At 37.6% G+C, this 21,957-nt stretch overlaps 1 protein-coding gene across 12 annotated transcripts in view, besides 2 other annotated features; it reads left to right on the top strand.

Annotated features, from left to right (window-relative positions):
* The window catches only part of CEP85L (centrosomal protein 85L), a 249,318-nt gene that overhangs the window by 61,619 nt on the left and 165,742 nt on the right, over positions 1–21,957 (top strand). For 11 of the 12 annotated variants that reach the window (XM_011535811.2, NM_001178035.2, XM_011535810.3 and 8 more), the window contains one exon: positions 15,860–16,018. Coding sequence is in view for 9 of the 12 variants with exons in the window: in NM_001178035.2 (NP_001171506.1) it covers positions 15,860–16,018 (159 nt within the window). In the remaining 3 variants the exon portion in view is untranslated. Of the gene's footprint in view, positions 1–1,096; positions 1,565–15,859; positions 16,019–21,957 lie in introns of those variants that run through there. The other variant, XM_005266970.2, reaches the window with a different exon arrangement.
* Positions 17,185–17,779: an enhancer, noted in NCBI's record as "H3K4me1 hESC enhancer chr6:118951855-118952449 (GRCh37/hg19 assembly coordinates)". NCBI's record gives its function as "activates a minimal SCP1, AML or CMV promoter by ChIP-STARR-seq in naive H9 embryonic stem cells {active_cell/tissue: H9 hESC(naive)}" and the evidence as "EXISTENCE:reporter gene assay evidence [ECO:0000049][PMID:30033119]".
* Positions 17,780–18,374: an enhancer, noted in NCBI's record as "H3K4me1 hESC enhancer chr6:118951260-118951854 (GRCh37/hg19 assembly coordinates)". NCBI's record gives its function as "activates a minimal SCP1, AML or CMV promoter by ChIP-STARR-seq in naive H9 embryonic stem cells {active_cell/tissue: H9 hESC(naive)}" and the evidence as "EXISTENCE:reporter gene assay evidence [ECO:0000049][PMID:30033119]".

The following is a 21,957-nucleotide window of genomic DNA, read 5'->3' as shown; positions in this document are numbered from 1 at the left end:
CGCGCCCGGCTTATAGAACCACTTTCTAAAAATCAGAAGAAATTTTTTTTTAAAGAAATGGCAGTAAAAAATAGGAATAATAAGTGTAGTTTGAAAAATACTGAACTTTTAGCCTTCGCTTTAGGATTCAGTTTAATTTGGCTTTTCCCATTTTTCAGCTTTTTGGAGTAACTGTTATAAACCAAAAATAAAATGAGTATTTATTTATTTATTTTTTGAGACAGAGTTTCCCTCTGTTGCCCAGCCTGGAGTGCAGTGGTGCGATCTTGGATCACTGCAACTTCCGCCTCCCGGTTCCAAGCGGTTCTCGTGCCTCAGTCTCCCAAATGGCTGGGATTACCGGCATGTGCCACCACACCCAGCTAATTTTTGTATTTTTAGTAGAGACAAGGTCTCACCATGTTGGCCATGCTGGTCGCGAACTCCTGGCCTCAAGTGATCCACCGGCCTCAGCCTCCCAAAGTGCTGGGATTACAGGCATGAGTAACCGCGCCCAGCTAAAATGAGTGTTTTCTTAAGTTTCCTTACAAATATCAAATAAAAGCCTCTCTTTTTTGTATTGGCAAGTGTGGTTAGAAGGCTAATTTAAAATAGAACAATTGGTATCTTTTTATGCATTTGGTTGATTGCATTTGAGATTACCCTATTGTTCAGAATGTATACTGGTTTCAAGTTGGATGAAGGATAGACATATTTCCCGTAGGCTTTTGAAATCAAGCATGATAAAGTGATACTTTGAGTACTTCCTAATACCTAGTTGTGCTAAGTATGTTCCTTTTCGTAAATAATTTTTTTAAAATACTAACATAAGCCAGGCGCAGTGGCTCATGCCTATAATCCCAGCACTTTGGGAGGCCGAGGTGGGCGGATCACTTGAGGTCAGGAGTTACAAACCAGCCTGGCCAACGCGGTGAAACCCAGTCTCTACTAAAAATACAAAAATTAGCCGGGCGTGGTGGCGTGCGCCTGTAATCCCAGCTACTCAGGAGGCTGAAGGCAGGAGAATTGCCTGAACCCGGGAGGCTGAGGTTGCAGTGGGCTGAGATCATGTCGTTGCACTCCAGCCCGGGCAACAGAGTGAGGCTCTGTCTCTTTAAAAAACAAAAGCGAAAACATATATTCAACTCTTAAAACATTTTGAGGTAGAGTATTATACTTTTATAGTGTGCGAAAATAAAATGTTACAGGAAACACTTGAGCTGAAAAAATGTCATTTGTTCATTGCTTTGAGCTTTACATTTACCTCTTAATTGATGCTTGCCATAAGGTGTTTAGTGATGTCATAATGATAGTGGTAATAACTGGTATGGTTACAACTAATAATATTGTTTTCTGCTGTGGTTCTGAATTAGATGGACTTCTAGGAATACTGTGGTAACAATGAAACATAACTCTGGCCTAAACCCAACTGAACATGTTCTTTCATAATAGGTATTGGGGGGTAAGGGGTGAATCTTAACTTTAGTGATGACTTTGGTGAAATGAACTTGATTAATAATTGGAATTTGATCACTTCCTGGCTTGAATGAAGCTGGTAAATTAATCTGAGGCCAAGCAATAAATGGTGAGTTGATAACCTCTATTGTCATGTTGTAATATTTATGTGTGTGAACAGAAAGGGTTGAGAGAGTCATGATTTTTCAGACTGGATGAAATGTGTATTTTTATACTCTGAAAAGATGATGAAGACATAAAGTCTTCTGGATAGTATTTTCCTGAGTTATAGCCTAATTACATAAATTTTGCATTAAGAAAGTGAAGAACGTGATCATCAGACACTTTTTAAGCAATATCATTTTTTATTTTTTTTGAGACAGAGTCTCATTCTGTCACCCAGGCTGGAGTGCGATCTCGGCTCACAGCAACCTCCGTCTCCGGGGTTCAAGCGATTCTCCTACCTCAGCCTCCCGAGTATCTGGGATTAGAGGCGTAAACCACCATACCTGGCTAATGTTTTGTATTTTTGTAGAGTCGGGGTTTCACCATGTTGACCAGGTTGGTCTTGAACTCCTGACCTCAAGTGATCCGCCTGCCTTGGCCTCCGAGAGTGCTGGGATTACAGACATGAGCCACTGCACCCAGCCAATTTTTAAGCAATAACATGTTATTCATTATTATTATTACTATCAGGATTTTCATATTTTACACTGGCAAAGTAATATTCTAAGAAGAGCAATTTATTGTATAGGGTCATTTAAGGATGGGCATGATCAACATAAAAATAACATCAAATTACTTTTCTTTTCTTTTTTTTTAGACAGAATCTTGTTCTGTTGCCCAGGCTGGAGTGCAATGGCGCAATCTCGGCTCACTGCAACCTCCGCCTCATGGGTTCAAGTGATTCTTCTGCCTCAGCCTCCCGAGTAGCTGGGACTACGGGCGTGTGCCACCATGCCTGGCTAATTTTCGTATTTTTAGTAGAGACAGGATTTCACAGTATTGGCCAGGCTGGTGTTGAATTCCTGACCTCGTGATCTGCCAGCCTCGGCCTCCCAAAGTGCTGGGATTAAGGCGTGAGCCACCACGCCTGGCCCCAAATTACTTTTCATACCAATATTTTGATTTCTGTTTTTCTTTAATTAAAAAAAAAATGGTTACCTAGCATAGTGCTTGTTACCTTGGCATTAGAAATGTTTGTGAATTATTCTTTCAATAAATATGGTGTGCTAGACATTGTATAAGCCTCTGGGGATACATCATTGAACAAGAAAGATAAGGTTCTTGCTCTACGGAGGCTTGTATTTTACTTTTAAAAACATTTTTTAGGTTTTGTTTGTTTGTTTGTTTTGTTTTGTTTTTGAGACAGTGTCTCACTCTGTCAGTCAGGCTGGAGTGCGGTTGTGCAATCATAGGTCTCTGCAGCCTTGACCTGCCAGGATCAAGCAGTCCTCTCACTTCAGCCTCTCAGGCTCAGCTGGGAATACAGGCATGTGCACTGACTGCTGGCTAATTTTTGTATTTTCTGTAGAGATGAGGTCTCACTGTTACCCAGGCTGGTCTTGAACTTTTAGGCTCAAGTGATCTCCTGCCTGGGCCTTCCAAGTATTGGGATGACAGGCATGAACCACCATGCTGCCTGGTAGTGGCTTGCATTTTAGAGGGGAGGATCAGTAAGTAAACAGATAGTGAGATGATGCAGCTAGTGTTAAGTACTAAGAGGAAAAGAAGATTGGTGAGGTGGCAGAGGATGGGCAGAGCTCCTTGAGTAGCTGGTCAGGGAGGCCTCTGAGGAGGTAACATTGTTACCTGAATGATGAGAAGAAGCCAGACGTGAAGGGAGAAGTGTTCAGGTGGAGGGAACAAAAAATCTCCAAGGCGGAAATGAGTTCGAGAAGTTTGAAGAACTCCAGTGAGTCTGGAGCTTAGTGAGCAGGACTGTGAGGTGAGGAAGGCCTGATAATAATGTTAGGGGTTGTAGGGAGTCTGGATTCTATTCTGCATGTCAGAAGATGCCGGGGAGTGACTTCATTCTTTCACTCCTGAGCACATTGAGTGCCTACTATGAGGCAGATACTGTTCCCATGTATTGGGGACATGGAACAGATATTCCTTGTCCTAGGTGTTTACAATCAGTCTTGGCTATTCTGTGGAAGAAGAAATTGTAGAGGAGTGGGGCAAGAACAGCAGTAGGGAAGACAGCTAATAGGCCATTGCAGTTATTAGGTGAGAGATGATGGCTTGAGTTAGAATGGTTAGATTGGATTTGGAGAGAAGAAAATGGATTTGGTATATACATGAGAAATCTTAAGGATTTACTGATGGTTTGGAGTTGTCAATTAAGGGAAAGAGGAGTCAAAAATGACATCTTGATTTTGGCTTCTGTGATTATAATCGATAGTGATGCCATTTCCTGAGATGGGGAAGGTTAGTGGGCAGAGGGCGGTGGGGAGAGAGTGTAAGGAAAATAAATGGAATCAAGAGTTCTTTTTGGCCATGTGAAATTTGAGATCCTTTTGAGAAATTCAGGTGAGATGTTGAATATGAAGTTGGGTATAAATGCTGGAGCTCAGTAGGGAGGTTGCTGGGTGAGAGATAGGAATTTGAGAATTACTTGGTTATAAATGGTGTTTAAAGGTCATGGATCACACCGAGAGAATAGAGAAGACAGTAGAGGACTAAGCCCTGGGACACTAACATTTTCTCTTCAGGCAGAGGAAGATGTGCCGTCCAAAGACACTGAGAAGGAGCAGCCAGGGTGGTAGGAGTAAAAGCAGGACAATGAAGTGTTCTGGTAGAGAGGAGTCTGAAGGCAGTAGTGATCACCAGTCTCATGCTTCCAGGCAGCCATGTAAGATGAGTCAGAAGAAAATGCATCAATGCATTTGGCCAGTTTCAGTGAGATACTTAAAAATATAAACCTAGCAGAAATTAGAGATTATCTAATCCAGTGGAGCTGACTTTATTGCATAAGGATTGATACATAAGTGCTTAATAAATGTTTGAATTGCTCTTTACCACTTATTAAGCTAGGGTGACCAGTTGTCTGGGTTTGCCTGACGTTTCAGTTTTAAAACTAGGGGTTGTGTGTCATAGGTTGCCTAGGACTGAAGGGTTTTCTGGGATTCCTTACACTGAACAGTGGCCAAGTCTTGACCAGGGTACTCTGTCTGCTCAGGGCGTCTGAACTGGTGTTAACAGTGTTCTCGCCCCTCAGAATAGAAGATTCTCTCAATCAGGGAACCAGACTTTAGTACTGTATCTAGTTTTATTTCATGCTTTTCTTAACCTCTGTCTGATCTGAGAATCTACCTCAGAAAAGTAACTCTACCCCTACTTTTGTTTTTTTTCTCCTGCTGTAAATTGTTTAAAGACTTCATTAGGTAGTGCTAAATTAATTAAAGTCGTTGATAGGATTTTAAGTTCCTTTAAAGAGAGTTAATGTAAGATCAGAAACTGTTGTATGCCTTTCTACACTGTTAATGTCTAGTGAATGAAACTTATTTGCTTTATTGATACTCGTTTTGAAAATAGTTTTTAGTATTAAAGTTTAGAGTTCTGAAATGAACTATAGTTTTTAGTTATATATTTCTCTGAAAGATTTTGGGATGAAAGATTTGGACTATGTTTCATGTAGTTTAGCATTTTCTACCAGTTGATTACATTGCTTTTGTAGAGGCAGAGATTGCCTCCTGACCATAAGAAATTACATATATATGGCCTTGCTATGACATTTCTGAAGCTTTTCTAAAGCATTCTCATTAATACTGAGCATTCTGTCTCATTTTAGGAATAATGTACTGAAAAGTTGGACTAGAAGTTAAGTGCTTTAATTTTGGGAACAGAAAACTTCCATATATTTATAAATTTTCTCAATTATTTTGTAATATTTTAAGACTTTATTTTTCTTTAGCCATTTAAATGTATTGTGTATGATTCTTATGTTCTAGGACAAAGATAAGCCCGTCTGAAATACCAAGTTGTATATATTTGTAGTGGTTTTATGAACAGCCTCATTAGTTGTTAACTGTACCTTATTTTCCCAGTTTTTAAACAGGAACAAGGACTTACCAAAAACTAAATACGTGGCTGTTATTCCTAATAGTTGCCAAAATGCTTTTTTGAACACAGCTTTTTTTGTTTTTGAGACGGAGTCTCTCTGTCACCCAGGCTGGAGTGCAGTGGTGTGATCTCGGCTCACTGCAACCTCCGCCTCCCAAGTAGCTGGGATTACAGGTGTGCACCACCATGCTGGACTAATTTATTATATATATATATTTTTAGTAGAGACAGGGTTTCACCGTGTTGGCCAGGCTGGTCTCGAACTCCTGACCTTAGGTGATCCACCCTGCTCAGCCTCCCAAAGTGCTGGTGTTACAGATGTGAACCACCGTGCCCAACCCAAGAAAGCCTATTAGCTTAGATTGAGCTAGATTTTAATGTAGGTATTTTTTAACTAGTGTGTTTATGTGAGAAAGTATACTTACTTGATGCTGCTAACCTTATTTTAGCTGAGTGAAAGCATCTTCAGTGACTGCTTAAGTTTAATTCCCAATCTTGGAATCTGATCTTACTTTATTCTTGATTCTTACTTTCTTCTGGCCTAGAATTTTACTTCTGGCTAGAACCTAACTTTTCATGTCTGAGCAGATCTTTGGATCTCTTTTGGGATTGGAGCAGCACAGTTTCTCAATTCACCTCCCCGTTTTGCTACCTGTTGTTTATTTTTATTTTTTTGACACATTTTACAAACCTTTCATAAAAAGGGTAGGGTATAGCAAATGTTTTGAGACCATAGAGAACCAATGGACTCCTTATTTTTTAGACATGCCTAACAGCAAAAATTTCACCCAAATGCTCCTATTTTATGTATGCAATATTTATTATACTTTATCAATTTTAAAATGTACTTTAAAAATGTTTTAGCATTTCTGATATATGGATGCATCATGTAATTCAGGGTGTCATTTAATTGGCATCCTTTTTTTTAGTGGTACATACAGTTGATATATTTTAAAAATTATTTTTTCCAACTCGCATATGCAGATACAAGAGTCATGTTGATTTCCAGTATGCCCTCTACATATTGAACGTTTCATTTGAAAGCATCATCTTTACCCTTATGGGGATCAATGGTTATTTTTTCAAACAGAAATGCTAGGTGACATATTACTGTCAGATCTAATTTTGTAATTTTTTTTTTTTCTCTTGCAAAAGGAATGTTGAAGTGTGTGCATGGGAGGCATCAGCTTGACTATTTTCTTGTTTGTTTATACTTACATTTTTAGTATTATCTTCAGGTTTTTCAACTTCAGGTTTCTTTGCAGTAATATAGAGCCACAAATCCATTTTGTGAGGGCTAGTTTAAGTAAAACTACCTAATGTTATCGATATGCAAATCTGCTTAACCAGCCATGAACTGCAATGCATACCCATACGAAAAAATCAAATGAACAAAGGAGGATGTCACCGTCAAGCCCTCTGTATAGAGCACCTCCGTTTATGTTATATATATGTAACATAATGCTCTGATAATCCAAGTAAGGGCACTAGTGTTAACCTGTATGTTAAATATTATAGCAAAATTTAATGCATTACTTTTTCCTAAAGATAATTTTCAGTATAAACAAGTTTTTTTCTTCCAGCAGCTTGCCAGTGGATTGGCTCGTGTACTCCCTGGCATGCATGTATTCACTTTGCAGATCATAGAGATAGAAAGCTTATGCTTAATCTCTTGGAATGATGTTAAAAAAGTGGTGGTTATCAGAGAGATGGGCATTGGGTTTGTGTTTTGAAGGAGATAAGTAGTTGTAAACATGCTAGTAAGATATTAAGAGAGAAGCTGGTGACAGTGTAGATGTCCTTGATTAAATAGGGAGGGAAAAGAGCAAGGTTAAAAACTTGGAAGAGAGTGGGGTACTGTACCTCATGAGGAGCAGAAGAATTATTGTTATGTGGTATTTGTCAGATGATTTTTTTCTTCTCATTATTAAAGTTACACATGCTCAGTAAAATGTTGACTCAGTACAGAAAAGCTTAAAGTGAAGTAAGCTTTTTTATCTACCTTTCATGTCAGTCCTCCACTCCATTTTTAATAGTTTTTAGTTATCCTTCTGGAAAATTTCTATGCATGGACAGTAATAAAAATAATAACATTTATTGAGATCCTAATTATATGTCTGGCACTTTCAAAAATATATTTACAGGCCAGGTGCAGTGGCTCACGCCTGTAATCCCAGTACTTTGGGAGGCTGAGCAGGCGGATCACTTGAGGTCAGGAGTTCGAGACCAGCCTGGCCAACATGGCGAAACCCCATCTCTACTTAAAAAAAACCTAAAAAATTAGCCAGACATGGTGGTGTGTGCCTGTAATCCGCACAACTTGGGAGGCTGAGGCAGGAGAATCTCTTGAACCTGGGGGATGAATGTTGCAGTGAGCCGAGACTGCACTACTGCACTCCATCCTGGGCAACTGAGAGAGGCTCTGTCTCAAAAACAATAACAACAACAAAAAACTTTACATGTTCATTGATCACAACAACCCTATAATATAGGTACTATTCTATAATTTTTTTCTTCTCTTACATATGAAGAAATTGAGGCACAGAGAGGTTAAGTGATTTATGAGGACTTACTGCTAATAAGAGGTAGAATGAACTTGAACCCAGGTAGCCTGGTTTCACAGTGCACACTGAGCTATACTGGTAATTCTGTGATAAAAGAAACAAACTAAGACTATTGGAGTCACTTACCCTAGAGATAAATAGTACTGAAATGGAGTGGAGGATTGGGATGGAGAAAATAACACTATGTGATGTTTCTGTCATCTTAGCTAGATATTCTGCAGTGTAGTTCCAGATTTGTTGGTTTTTTCTGTTTGGCTACTGTTAATATGAACGTTTTTTTCTTACCGTTTAATGTTCTAATTTTTTGTGTGAGTTTTGTGTCTTTTTAACCTATTGGAGACTGTTTTCCCATGTTAGGAATGTTGGCCATCAGATCTCTAAATTATTTAAAATTACCTTAAAAAAAGCTGCATTGATAAATATTTACTGATCTCTAAATAGATACTTAAATGCATACTGGCTCAAGGGATAGTTTAAAATATCCTGGATTTTAAAATAAGCAGACAACAACCACCAAACAAAACGCTTGTTTGAATCCTTTTTCTGAACACAAAGATATTTTTGTAGTTGTAATTGTAAGGCTTCCAAAATTCTAATTTTATTCTGTGAACATTTGTTAGGTATCCAGTGGTTATAATGACTACATTTATTGAGACCCTGTATAAGTGTGCAGCTCTTTGCTAGGTACTGGACACTAAAAAAAGTTGCCTTTCATTTTTCACAGTTTGGTGAGGGAGAAGAAAGTCATATACATATGGGTTAATATAATTTATTAAATGTTGTTGGAATTTTGAATAATATATTGGGAGTGAACAAAGTATTTAATGCCACCTGGAGGAATCAGGGAAGACAGAACAAGTTAATTCTGAACTAGGACTCTTAAGGTGCAGAAGTGAAACAGCTTGGAGTCATGAAAGAGTCTCATCTGTTTGGAGGAAGTGATTAGGTAAGTGTGGCTAGATAGTTTTTGTAGGTAGAAGTTGCAAAGTGAAGCTGACAATTGGTGAAGAACTTTGCCTAACTTAAGGAGTTTGAATTTATTTAATATGCCGTAAGGGGCTCACAGATCTATGTAAGTAGAAGAATAACATAAACATGCTTGATTCTAGAAGATAGTAGAGTAGAGGCTGGCTTGAGTGGAGTTATTCCAGCAGCAGAATAGGTTCTTTGTGCAAAAGTACTTGTTAATATTTCAGAGATGTTAAAATGTGAACCGCGTGCTACTTATGTAATATAAGGGTAAACATGCTTTATCTACTATTTTATTTGAAAGTGTTGGTTTCCAAGTTGATTTTAAAACATACTAATGGGTGACAGATAATCTGCATTCTGAAAAACATTGCAATTTGTATTCTCGATTTGTATTATGTATTCAGCTTATTTAAAAGTATAAATCTGCTTTGTCAGTAGTGTTATTTTTATTTTCTTCAATTTAGAGCTGTCATTAAAATATTCAATGAGAGTAGTTCTTGTTCTCAGTGCAGTTACATATATATTCAAATGCTGTGGAATACTTGATACTGTATGCATTTTTGCTTCCAATAAAAGAGCTTCAGAAGTAAAATAGGTTGCTTTTTTATTTAATGCTAATCTTCCTGTCTGAGAAATATTCAGAATTTTTAATGTTATCCGCAGGCACTCAGTATTCTATTAAAATAATTAAAATTAGTATTAAAAAATTAGTATTGAAAAATGTAACATATTGTCTTCCAAGGAGGAGTTCCAATGTAGAGTTTCTTGGGATCTTTGCTGTTCTTACAGCAGTCCTTTTGTCTTTAGGTAAGACATTATTGCCAGAGGTTATTCAGCCTTATTTTGAGTTTTTAAGTGCATATTGCATACTAGATATCAATATTCCCATTTCAGTAACATAGTCTTGTAACTATTCTGTGAGAAAATTTTCCTTATTAAATCACCTGGTCAGCATATTTCACATGTACTTCTTCCTGTATTGTGCTTCTGGATTGACTTGTCTAAAGACAAGTCATGTCATTCTTTTCAGACTGTGAATTTTTTCAGTTTAAATTAAAAGATTAGAATGTTATTTTCATGACATTTGTTAATCATCTTCAGTGTTTGAGGCACATACAATACCAGATCTTCTTTTTAAAGACATAGTTATGTTTAAAGGTTAAGGCAAATTAGTTCAGGTGGGAGGAGATCAATTTATATAGTTAATTCTTTTCCTTTTTTTTTTTTTGAGACGGTCTCACTATGTTGCCCAGGCTGGTCTCGAACTCCTGGGCTTAAGCAATCTTACCTTGGCTTCCTGAGTAGCTGGTATTACAGGCATGTGCTACACATGATGTATATTGCCTAATAGCCTATCAAAAGGTTGTGTTTTTGTAATGAATAAATTAACATTACCATTATCAGTGTATGGGAGTATCTAGGAACACTGTTGTTTTGTTCTTTTAACATTTTTGCTAGATTGATAGCTGAAAAATAGCATGTCTTCTGAATTTGATACTACTTGCTTACCAGTGGGCTTGGACTATTTTTCAGAATTTTTTATTTGTGTTTTTCCCTTTGGGGTTTGTCCTTTGTCCATTTAGACTAAACCATTTAGTATTTATTTATTTATTTTTAGTTTGCTTATGATCTCTTTATAATTATGCATTAATACCATATCTGCAAATATTTTTAGTGTTTGCCTTTAACTTCTTAAATATATAGACAACTTTTTTTTTTTTTTTTTTTTTTTGAGACAGTCTTGCTTTATTACCCAGGCTGGAGTGTAGTGGCATGATCTCGGCTTACTGCAGCCTCCACCTCCTGGGTTCAAGTAGCTTAGCTTCCCAGGTAGCTGAGACTACAGGCATGTGCCACCATGCACAGAGGCATTTTTTTGAATTTTTTTTTTTTTTTCTTTTGTAGAGATGGGCTTTTGCCATGTTTTCCAGGCTGGTCTTAAACTCTTGAACTCAAGCTGTCTGCCAGCGTTGGCCTCCCAAAGTGCTGGGATTACAGGTGTGAGCCACCTTGCCCGGCCTAGACAACAATTTGATGATTTATGTGGTTTGCTTACTTTTTGTGTCCTTCTGTAAAAGTCAGAGGTTCAAGTTTATAAGGTGGCAGTACACTGAAAGAAATTTTAGGAAGATCATTTCCCTGAGTTGCTAAATAAAAAGGCTCTAAGTATGTATGTACTGCTCTGTGATTCAAAGATAGAATTTAGGGTTTCTAGAGGGGCGGAATGATAGCATGTCTTAGACCATTTTCTCTGTCATTTCTTATAGCTTTTTTTGTATAAAAGTTAGATAACAGATAGTTGAGATTGTACTGATGTGCTTTGGAAATCTGTGGAATAGGTATCATATTGAGTAGATGATATTGAAATACTGTAATGGAAATTGAGGATTACAACTATTGTTCTTTTCTAAATAGAAGGCTGTCCCCACTTTTTCATATCTGTAGGCAAGATTAGAATTTTTCTAGTTTTCCCAATATTGTATTGAAGTTCTCCAGAGAAACAGAGCCAATAGCATTTAATTAATTAATTAAGAATTGGCTCATGAGATTATGGTGGCTGACAGGTCCCAAGATCTGTGAGGTGATTTGGCAAGCTGGAGACCTGGGATTGTTGATAGCATAGTTCCAGTCTGAAGGCTGGCAGGCTCAAGCCCCAGGAAGAGATCAGTTCAAGCTTGAAGGTAGGAAAAAGCCAGTGTACTAGTGTATTTAATCAAAGGGGATCAGGCAGGAAGAATTCTCTTCTGCTTAGGGGATGGTTAGCTTTTTTGTTGTGTTCAGGCCTTCAGCTGGTTCAGTGAAGCCCACCCACATTATGGAGGGCAGTCTGCCTTATCCAGTCGACCAATCTGAATGTTGAGCTCATCCAAACACCTTCACGGAAGTAATGTTTGACTGCATATCTGGGCACCCCATGGTCCAGTCAAGTTGTCATGTAAAATTAACCATCACACATATTTGACATTGTCCAGGAGTTCCATACCATATGGATAAACTGAGATCATTTATTCTGGAAAAAGAAACCTAAAACACTTGTTGACATTTATTTGTCTTTGTAATCCTTGAAAAACCTCAGTAGTGCTTTCATGAATTGTCAGATTCTGGGCAGCCTGGCTTGCTGATATGTACTCTAGGATGAGCTCACTTTTCTTCCAAATAAAGAAATGAATTAATATGCTGGCTGTAGTTACTTATGAATCAGTTGAATTTTAGGGACTCTTTTCAGTTAGAATGATTTTTTACCACATCTCAGGAGTCTGCAAACTGGCCCCCAGGTTTCATTGGACTTGTCACCTGTTTTTGTAAATAAAGTTTTATTACAACATAGCCACATCCATTTTATTGTCTACAGCTGATTTAGACTACAGTGGCAGAATTGGCTAGTTGAGACGGAGATTGAGTGACCCACAAAACTGAAAATATTTACAATCTGGCTCTTGACAGAAAAAGGTTTTATTGAACTGTTTTTCTGGCAATAGTTAATTATACAAGACTAATGATTGAAGGTTGTCCTAGCTTGTGATAATAACACCATAGCATTAATATGTACAGTGGGCTTTCCTCCCCATTACTGGAGTGAGAAAGTGAGTGAGTGGAGAGAGAGTGAGAGAGAGAATGATTATTGCCTTTTAATCCACAAATGGTTTATTGGCCAAGACTTGTCAACAATCAATAGGGTGGAGGTGTGTTGTAGGCTTTAATGGAGCATGACTTTATACTGCTCAAAATAGTTATATTGCCTAAAAGCAAGGGTTTTAATTCTAGCCATTTTATGCAGCTTTTGTAAAAATTGTTACTAGGAATCTGAATTTGCGTATCTTGAGCTATAGCTGGTTTCTAATCTCAGAATCAAATGTTGATGTAATCTGCAAATCAGTATGCATAATTTTCAGCATTTCCCCACATAAACTGGTAGATTGAATAATAATAATAACCAATGATGGAGTAAATGTTCCTGTAATGTATTTCTTCCTTTAGTAAAACATAGTCAGTGTTAGCATTTAGATATAGAGCTCCCTGAAAGCTTCTTCCATGTATGTAAATGTACAAACTCTTCTCCAGCTGTGGAATCATATTATGTATATAGCTACATAAAATGCTTCTCTTCCATACACACTAGATATATTCTGGATGTTCTTCCATGTTAAAAAATAGGTTGATAAAATCATTTTTAGCACTTAAACATTATCAACTAATTAACAGTTTATATTTTGTTCATAGGCATTTACTTTAAGCAGTGCTGTCAGGAATGTCCTTATACTCATATTTATTTGTAATTGTCTGATATTTCCTTAGGATAAATTCTCAGTAGAAGGTCATGTCTATATTGACATTTAGATACCACTTTCCAGTTTGCCCTTTAGAAAGGTTGTACCAATTTGCAAGGCCACAAAAATATACGAACATTCCCCTCACTTGGTTGACACCAGTCTTTCTTTTATCAACTTGATAGTTTTAAAAATCCAGAAAATTTATTGTCTTTTTCACTTCTCCCACCATTAGTGAGATTTGGCATCGTTTCTTATATTTATTTTTTCATTTACATATAGTCCCAGCCTATTTATGCTATTTGCTGGGTATTCTTAAAAAAAAATAATTATCCAGCTAATAGGTTTGCACTTGTGAGACTAGGCTGGTTGCCATTTTTGATAATAGTTTAGGCAGGACTTTGAGCTCATTTAGATGGGATGTTACCTGATTGAAAAAAAATTTTGGTATAGATTACAGACCACAGATCAGAATTAGAATAGATCTGGTGACAGAACACCTTCTTCTGGTGCTTTAATGTGAGTGTTGAATCACTTGAATTGAAAAGTCTCATTCTGAGAGAAGTCTAGAATCTACAAAGCTTTAAGTGGTTGTTCTGAACCTCAAAGCTGGTAAAAGTGTCTCTTTGGCCACTGTTTTTCAAATTTGATTTGTTAATTTAAATGTATAAGGCTTTTAAGGCTGCTTATATACTTTATACATGTATAAAGCCTAAATTTAATTGATAAATTGCATTTAAATAAATAAATGCATTAAATAAAATAATGTGACAATGTTTTATTAAAAGTGAATCATTAATGTTGAGCTTAGTATGATAGAGGTAGCTTTAGGTCTGGTTTTATTAATTTGTTTATATATTTTGATTTTAATACTGACATAGAGAACAACTAATCCTAAAAGTGTGGTTAAAAAAACTGGTATAATTAATTTTATGCACGTTTGTTGTTTTGTTACCCTTATGTTTAAACTGCCAGAAGGCATTCCTTGCATGCCGGTTTCAATAGGGTATCAATGAATAATTCTGTAAAGCTATCTTCTTTCAAATAATGGTAAATACCCAGTGATGTCATTTGCTCTTTACTTAGAAGCAACTGCTATTTCAACCGCAAAACACAGATGGGGACATTGAATTATGTGATAAATCTTTTTAAGGCTGCTATACAGATACGGGAGCATTGAAATTATGTGGAAATAATGTTTTAAGTTGGCTGTTCAGATAATCTGTAATGTGCTTATTAATTTTTTAAGAACTGTCATTGAAATGAGAGCCTAAAATTCATGTAGGGGAACTTCTTAACTTTTATGAATAATTCTGTAAGCCCTGAATTGAGACTTACTGTATTAGGCATTAGTAAAGATTTGTGCTTCTACAGGTTTTATGTAAAGTTGAACGAATTTAAAATTTCTCTTTCTAATTATAGTACAATAACATTTCTAGATGCTTATTTATTTCTGCATCTAACTTGTAACAAATAGTACAGATTGGCACTGGTCCATTGATATCCTTTGAGTAGCACTGTACTAGACAATAAAATAAGTGATGGGTAAAACAGAAAAAGTCAAATAAAAGTTAAGTAAAAGTGAGTAAGTGGAAATAAACATTGAAAGAACATTGAAAAACCTTAAATTAGCTAAAAAGTATTTAAATTAAAAGGACAAATCTAGCTGGGCGCGGTGGCTCACACCTGCAATCCCAGCACTTTGGGAGGCGGAGGCGGGTGGATCACGAGGTCAGGAGATGGAGACCATCCTGGTTAACACGGTGAAACCTCATCTCTACTAAAAATGCCAAAAATTAGCGGGGTGTGGTGGTGGGCACCTGTAGTCTCAGCTGCTCCGGAGGCTGAGGCAGGAGAATGGCGTGAACCCGGGAGGCAGCGCTTACAGTGAGCAGAGATCGCGCCACTGCACTCCACCCAGCCTGGGTGACAGCGAGACTCGTCTCAAAAAAAAAAAAAGACAAATCAAGCTAAGAGTAGGAAAATGCTGTGCTATTAAACTGTTATTAAATAATAATTAAGGAAATAATTCAAATAAAATAATGTAAAATTTAAAAATTTTAAGTGATGATTGTAGAAAAAATTTAGTAGATATATAGCAGAAAAAAATGGATTGTTTTCATATTCCATGTGGATATCCTATTTATATTATCATGCATTATTATTGAATTTTCCTGAGCCCTGATTTTCAGCTAACGCATGTATGTATAATCACAGATGCCACCTATCAATTATTCTAGAGCAGAGTACTGACATTTGAAGATAAGTGGATAGTTCCAACATTTTTAATAACACAGCAGTACGTCTTTAAAAGTTTAATGCCCGGAAGCAGAAAACAGAGTTCTTCAGCTAGAGGAAGCTATGTAATCACACTTAATTGATATATGTGTGATATATACATTTATTTGGTTAATTTTGTTGATCATTTTAAATTATTTTGGGCAGAAAAGAACCTTTTATACCTTTTATACCCTATGTGTATTTTCCACAAGGTAAAAAAAAAATCTTCTGCCTACTCAGATATATGTGTTAACTGTTACATATTTCCCTTTTTAGGCCCAGATTATTCATCAGCATGGCTACCTGCTAATGAATCATTGTGGCAGGCCACAACTGTTCCATCTAACCATCGAAATAACCATATCAGGAGACACAGTATAGCTTCTGACAGTGGAGACACTGGCATTGGAACTTCCTGTTCTGATAGCGTGGAAGGTGAGCTAAAATTCTTATTGTTTATATATGAATCTTTGAAGAGTGGTTGTGGTACAAGAATTTTCAGGGGATATGTTTTATTGTTTCATACTGAAAATTATAGTGTTTGAATATTTAATAATGTTCAGTGTTGCTGTATATCAAATAAAATTGTCCCTCTAATCGACCGGGCGCGGTGGCTCATGCCTATAATCCCAGCACTTTGGGAGGCTGAGGTGGGCGGATCACGAGGTCAGGAGATCGAGACCATCTTGTCTAATACAATGAAATCCCGTCTCTACTAAAAATACAAAAAATTAGCTGGACGTGGTGGCGGGCGCCTGTAGTCCCAGCTACTTGAGAGGCTGAGGCACGAGAATGGCGTGAACCCAGGAGGCGGAGCTTGCAGTGAGCTGAGATCGTGCCACTGCACTCCAGCCTGGGGGACAGAGCGAGACTCCATCTCAAAAAAAGAAAATTGTCCCTCTAGTCATAAGAGTTTTTCCTTCATCTTTTTAACTAAACTTCTTACTTTGAGATAATTATAGATTTATATACAGTTTTAAGAAATAATAGTGTTGTAACCAGGGTATTGACATTGATAGAGCTGAGATTCAGAACATTTCCACATACCTCATGTTTCCCACACCCACTTCTCTCTCTGCCCCCTCTCCTTTATCTCTTAACTCTTGGAAGCCATTTACTCTCCATTTCTATAGTTTTGTTTTTCAAGAATACTTTATAAATGGAATCATAACTGGAATTTGAAAGTGGCTTTTTTCTCTGGATTTTCATCCAGTTGTTACATGTATCAACAGTCCATTCCTTTTTATTGATGAGTAGCATTCAGTAATGGTGGTATTGGAGAGAATACACTTTAACCATTTACCTATTGAAAAACATTTGGGATGTTTTCAGTTTTTGACTATTATGAGTAAAGTTGCTATAAACATGTGGGTATAGGTTTTTCTGTGAACCTATGTCTTCATTTCTTTGGGTGAGTAGATGCCTAGGAGTGTAGTAGCTGGATTGTGTAGTAGCATATTTAGATTTTAAAGAAACTGCCACACAGTTTTCTAGAGTGACTGTACCATTTCCATCAGCAATGTATGTATAAGTGATCTAGTTTTCTTTTTATCTTTGCTACCACTTAGTGTAAAAAAATTTAGCCATTTTGATAGTATAATGGTATTTCCTTGTGGTAGTGATGTCTCATTTTAAAAAATAGACTGTATTTTTTAGAGCAGTTTTTTTAGAGCAGCAGGAAAATTCATTGGGAGGTACAGAGATTTCCTGTATATCTCTTGTCCCCACACATGCACAGCCTCCTCCAATGTCATTATCTCCTACTAGTGTAGTATATTTGTTACAATTGATAAAACTACATGGACACACTATTATCACCCAGTGTTCATGCATTAGGGTAGCAGTCCCCAACCTTTTTGGCACCAGGAACTGGTTTGGTGGAAGATAGTTTTTCCACGGACCAGGGTGGAGTGGGGTGGTTGGTTTTGGGATGATTCAGGTGCATTGCATTATATTTATCATTAGATTCTCATAAGGAGCGCACAACCTATATCCCTTGCATGTGCAGTGGGTTTGTGCTTCTATGAGAATTTAATGCTGCCATTGATCTGACAGGAGGTGGTGCTCAGCTGCCCTCACTCACCTGCAGCCACTCACCTCCTGCTGTGCAGCTGGGCTCCCAACAGGCCACTGACCGGTGCTGGTTTGTGGCCTGGGGTTTGGGGACCCCTGCATTAGGGTTCACTTTTGGTGTTGTATATTCTGTGGGTTTGGCTTTATTCACTTAGTAATATGCATTTAAGTTTCTCCATGTCTTTTCATGGCTTGATGGCTCATTTGCTTTTAGTGCTGAGTAATATCCCATTGTCTGGATGTACCACAGTTTATCAACATTCACCTACTGAAGGACATCTTGGTTGTTTCCAGGTTTTGGCAATTATGAGGAAAGTTGCTGTAAACAGCCGTGTGTAGGTTTTTGTGTGGATGTCAGCTTTCAACTCTGTCAGCTGAAGAATGATGAGGTTCATAGATTTGGAAAGGAGAGCTTCATTTCTCACAAAGGTTTGCAGCTTGTATAGGCCATTCTGACAGGCTGGGAGGCATAGTCTCAGCAGAAATTGAGAGGCATTTCCAGGCAGAGTGGGGTCCAGTAAGGTGAGGGTTTAAGATAAGAACTTATGCTGATGATTGGCTAGGCATACAGCTATATTCAACAGGTTACAGAAGGAACCATGAATATTCATGAAGGAGACCCACACACATGCGTTTTAGGTTTACTCATATGTAAAATACCTCCCATAATCACTTTGAGGTGGAGATTTAATATTTAAATGCATTGTAGTTAGGTTCTATATGTAAAAGGTGAAATGTAGGGAAGAAGTCCATAAACTGCATCCTCAGGTGACTGGCCAGAACCAGTCCCTTCCAAAAGCCACTTATCAAGAAGAAAATCTTTGTGGCCTAAAATAGTTGTCATGTTGAAACTATAAAAACAGGAGGGGGTGTGTTTAGATGACTTGAACGAAGGGGTCTTTTGGACTTTTGTTTTCTCACACTGGCTTTTGAGAAAATCCAGTGATTAGAAAGGAGAGAAGTGGGTTGGAAGCAAATGGATCATGAACAGCTTACTGTCTTGCCATGGCTGCTAACTTAAAATTTTGGGGTCTTTTAGCTAAAGGAGGGTCCAGTAGTCTGTTGGAAGGGTTAGGACTTTTATTTTGGTTCCCAACTCTCTTGCCTAAATACTTAGGAGCTCAATTGCTGGATCATGTGGTAAGAGTATATTTAGTTTTCTATATATTTAATTTTGTATATTTAGTTTTGTAAAAAAACCACCAAACTGTCTTCCAAAGAGGCTGTACCATTTTGCATTCCAGCAATACATGAGGGTTCTGTTGCTCCACATCCTACTTAGCATTTGGTGTTGTCAGTGTTCTGGATTTTGCCTTTCTAATAAATGTGTAGTATTTTGTTGTTTTAATTTGCATTTTCCTGATGATGTATGAGGTGGAACACCTTTTCATATGCTTGTTTGCTGCCTGTATATCATCTTTGATGAGGTCTCTGTAAAGGTCTTTATAAAGCCCATTTCTTAATTGGGTTGTTAGTTTTCTTATTGTTGAGTTTAGAGTTCTTTGTATATTTGGATGAGAGGCCTTTATCGAACATGTCTTTTGCAAATAAAGACATCCTTTGGTATTGTGGAGGCTTGGTTCCAGGACCCCTGATACCAAAATCTGAGGATGCTCAAGTCCTTTATATAGAATAGTGTAGTATTTACATATAATCTACACACTTACTTCTGTATACTTTAAATCATCTCTAGATTCCTTACAATACGTAATACAATGTAAGTGCTGTGTAAATAGTTGCCATACTATATTGTTTTTAAAGTTTGATTATTTTTATTGTTAATATTTTTGATCCACGGTTGGTTGAGTCTGCAGATGTGGAACCTGCGGATATGGAGGGCCTACTGTATTTTCTCTCATTCTGTGGCTTGTCTTATTCTCTTGGCATTGTCTTTTGCAGAGCAGATGCTTTCTATTTTAATGAAGTTAAGCTTATCAGTTGTTGCTTTCACGGATTGTGCCGTTTTATCTAAAAAATCATTGCTATAACCAATGTCATCTAGGTTTTCTATTATGTTATTTTCTGGGAGTTTTATAGTTTTGTGTTTTACATTTAGGGTTGTGATCTATTTTGAGTTAAATTTTGTGAAGGGTGTAAGGCATACCTTTTGTAGTTGTCCCACAATTCTTGGATATAATGTGTTTTGTTTGTTTGTTTGTTTGTTTGTTTGTTTGTTTTTTTGGATGGAGTCTTGCTCTGTTGCCCAGGCTAGAGTGTAGTGGTGTGATCTTGGCTGGCTGCAGCCTCTGCCTTCTTCTCCTTTTTTTTTTAATTAAATAATTATGTTCCATTTTTACCAGCCTTTTTCTCTTTATTTTCAGTTTTAAGAGTTTCTGTTGACATATCTTCAAGCTCAGAGATTTCTGTGCCAAGTCCAGTCTACTAATGATCCCATCAAAGGCATTCTTCATTTCTATTAGAGTATTTTTGATCTGTAGCATTTCTTTTTGATTCTTGGAATTTTTATCCCTCGGCTTACATTATCCGTCTGTTCTTGGAAGATGTCTACTTTTTCAATTAAAGCCTTTACCCTATTTATCATAGTTGTTTTAAATTCCTGGTCTAGTAATTCCAATATCCCTGCCGTGTTTGAGTCTAGTCCTGAAGCTTGCTCTATTTCTTCAAACTATTTTTTTTTTGTCTTACAGTATGCCTTGTACTTTTTATTTTTATTTTTTGAAAGCTGATCGTGATATACTGGGTAAAAGAAACTGGTGAGCAGACCTTTAGTAATGTGGTGGTAAGGTGTGTGGGGAGGGGAAGTGTCCTACGATTTGGCCTCAGTGTTTTAGTGAGCCGGTGCCCCTGGGTTGTAACTTCACAGATGCTTCTCAGTTTTTTTCTGTTTTTACTAACTTGAGTGGGACAGGATGGCTACAGGGAGCTTTAGTTGGGTATTTCCCTTTAACCACCCGGAAGACTAGAATTGACTGGAGTTGGTTATTTCTCTTCCCCAAGGTAAGTTAGGCTCTGTTAAAACTACAAAGAGTTTAGGCTCTGGTTAAATAGTTTCTCCTGAGGGCAGACCTTATTAAGAATAGAATGTTCTGGTATATTTCAAAATGGACCCTTTTATCTTCCCTTTTCTGGAGTCATGAGGGGATTTTTCTCTGATACTTACTGTGAGAACCAGGTCAAACTCCTGGAAGTAAAACTCGTAAAAGTCTGGTAGTCTCCCTATGACGGGGTCGTTTTGGAATTTTTAACTCTCAGACTTCTTCATACTCAGCCTCCAGCAATTAATACAATTCAAGTTTTCCCACCTAGGTGCTGTGTCCCACACAAGTTTCAAGCTCTAATAAGTATTCTATGCATTTGCCATGTTGCTCTCTTCTGTTTTGGGAGCAGCTGTTTGCACTGTGACCTCAGTTCTCTTTGGGATCTAAGAAGAGTTGTTGCTTTTTCACTTTGTTCAGCTTTTTACTTGTTAGATAATGACTTTCAGGCTTCTCACATGCTGGCCTGAAAACCAGGTCTTAATCACTGTAATGTTGACCAGTTTTTCATATGCTTATTTTCCCACTTGTCTGTTTTCTTTTTTCTTCAGTGAAATGTCTCTTCATGCCTTTTACCTGTGTTTTAATTGTATTGTTTCCTTTTTTTTTTTTTTTTTTTTGAGATGGAGTCTTGCTCTGTTGTCCAGGCAGGAGTGCGGTGGCGGGATTTTGTCTCACTGTAACCTCTGCCTCCCAGGTTCAAGTGATTCTCCTGCCTCAGCCTCCTGAGTAGCTGGGATTACAGGCACCCACCACCATGCCTGGCTAATTTTTCTATTTTTAGTAGAGATGGGGTTTCACCTTTTGGCCAGGTTGTTCTTGAACTCCTGGCCTCAAGTGATCCACCCACCTTGGCCTCTCAAACTGCTGGGATTACAGGCATGAGCCACTGTGCCCAGAAGTTTTCTTCTTTACTGTTGAGTTTGAGAGTTCTTTATATATTTTAGATACTACTCTGTTTGATACATTGTTTGCAAATATTTTCTTGCACTCTGTATCTTGTCTTTTTATCCTTTTGTAACACCCAAGGTTCTGTGCCTAGCCACGCCAAAGAATTGGTGTGGAGGCTGACTGCGGCGAGTGACAGAGACTTGGACTGAGAGAGAGAGTGAGCTGTAGGTTTTATTGAGCAGAGTGAAAGTACAAAGCTTCTACAGTGTGGAAGGGGTCCCAAATGGGTTGCCACTGCTAGCTTGGGTGATTGCCTTTTAAACTCTTTAAGGCGGGAGATACGTGAGGCGGGAAGAATGTTACAGGAGCAAGAAACAAAGGCAGTAAATTATTTTGTGACATGCCTTAGATTTT

This window comes from Homo sapiens, chromosome 6, assembly GCF_000001405.40.
Source record: "Homo sapiens chromosome 6, GRCh38.p14 Primary Assembly".
NCBI lineage: Eukaryota > Metazoa > Chordata > Mammalia > Primates > Hominidae > Homo > Homo sapiens.
Note: the sequence above shows the minus strand (reverse complement) of the source record. Positions and strands in the feature narration are given on the sequence as shown.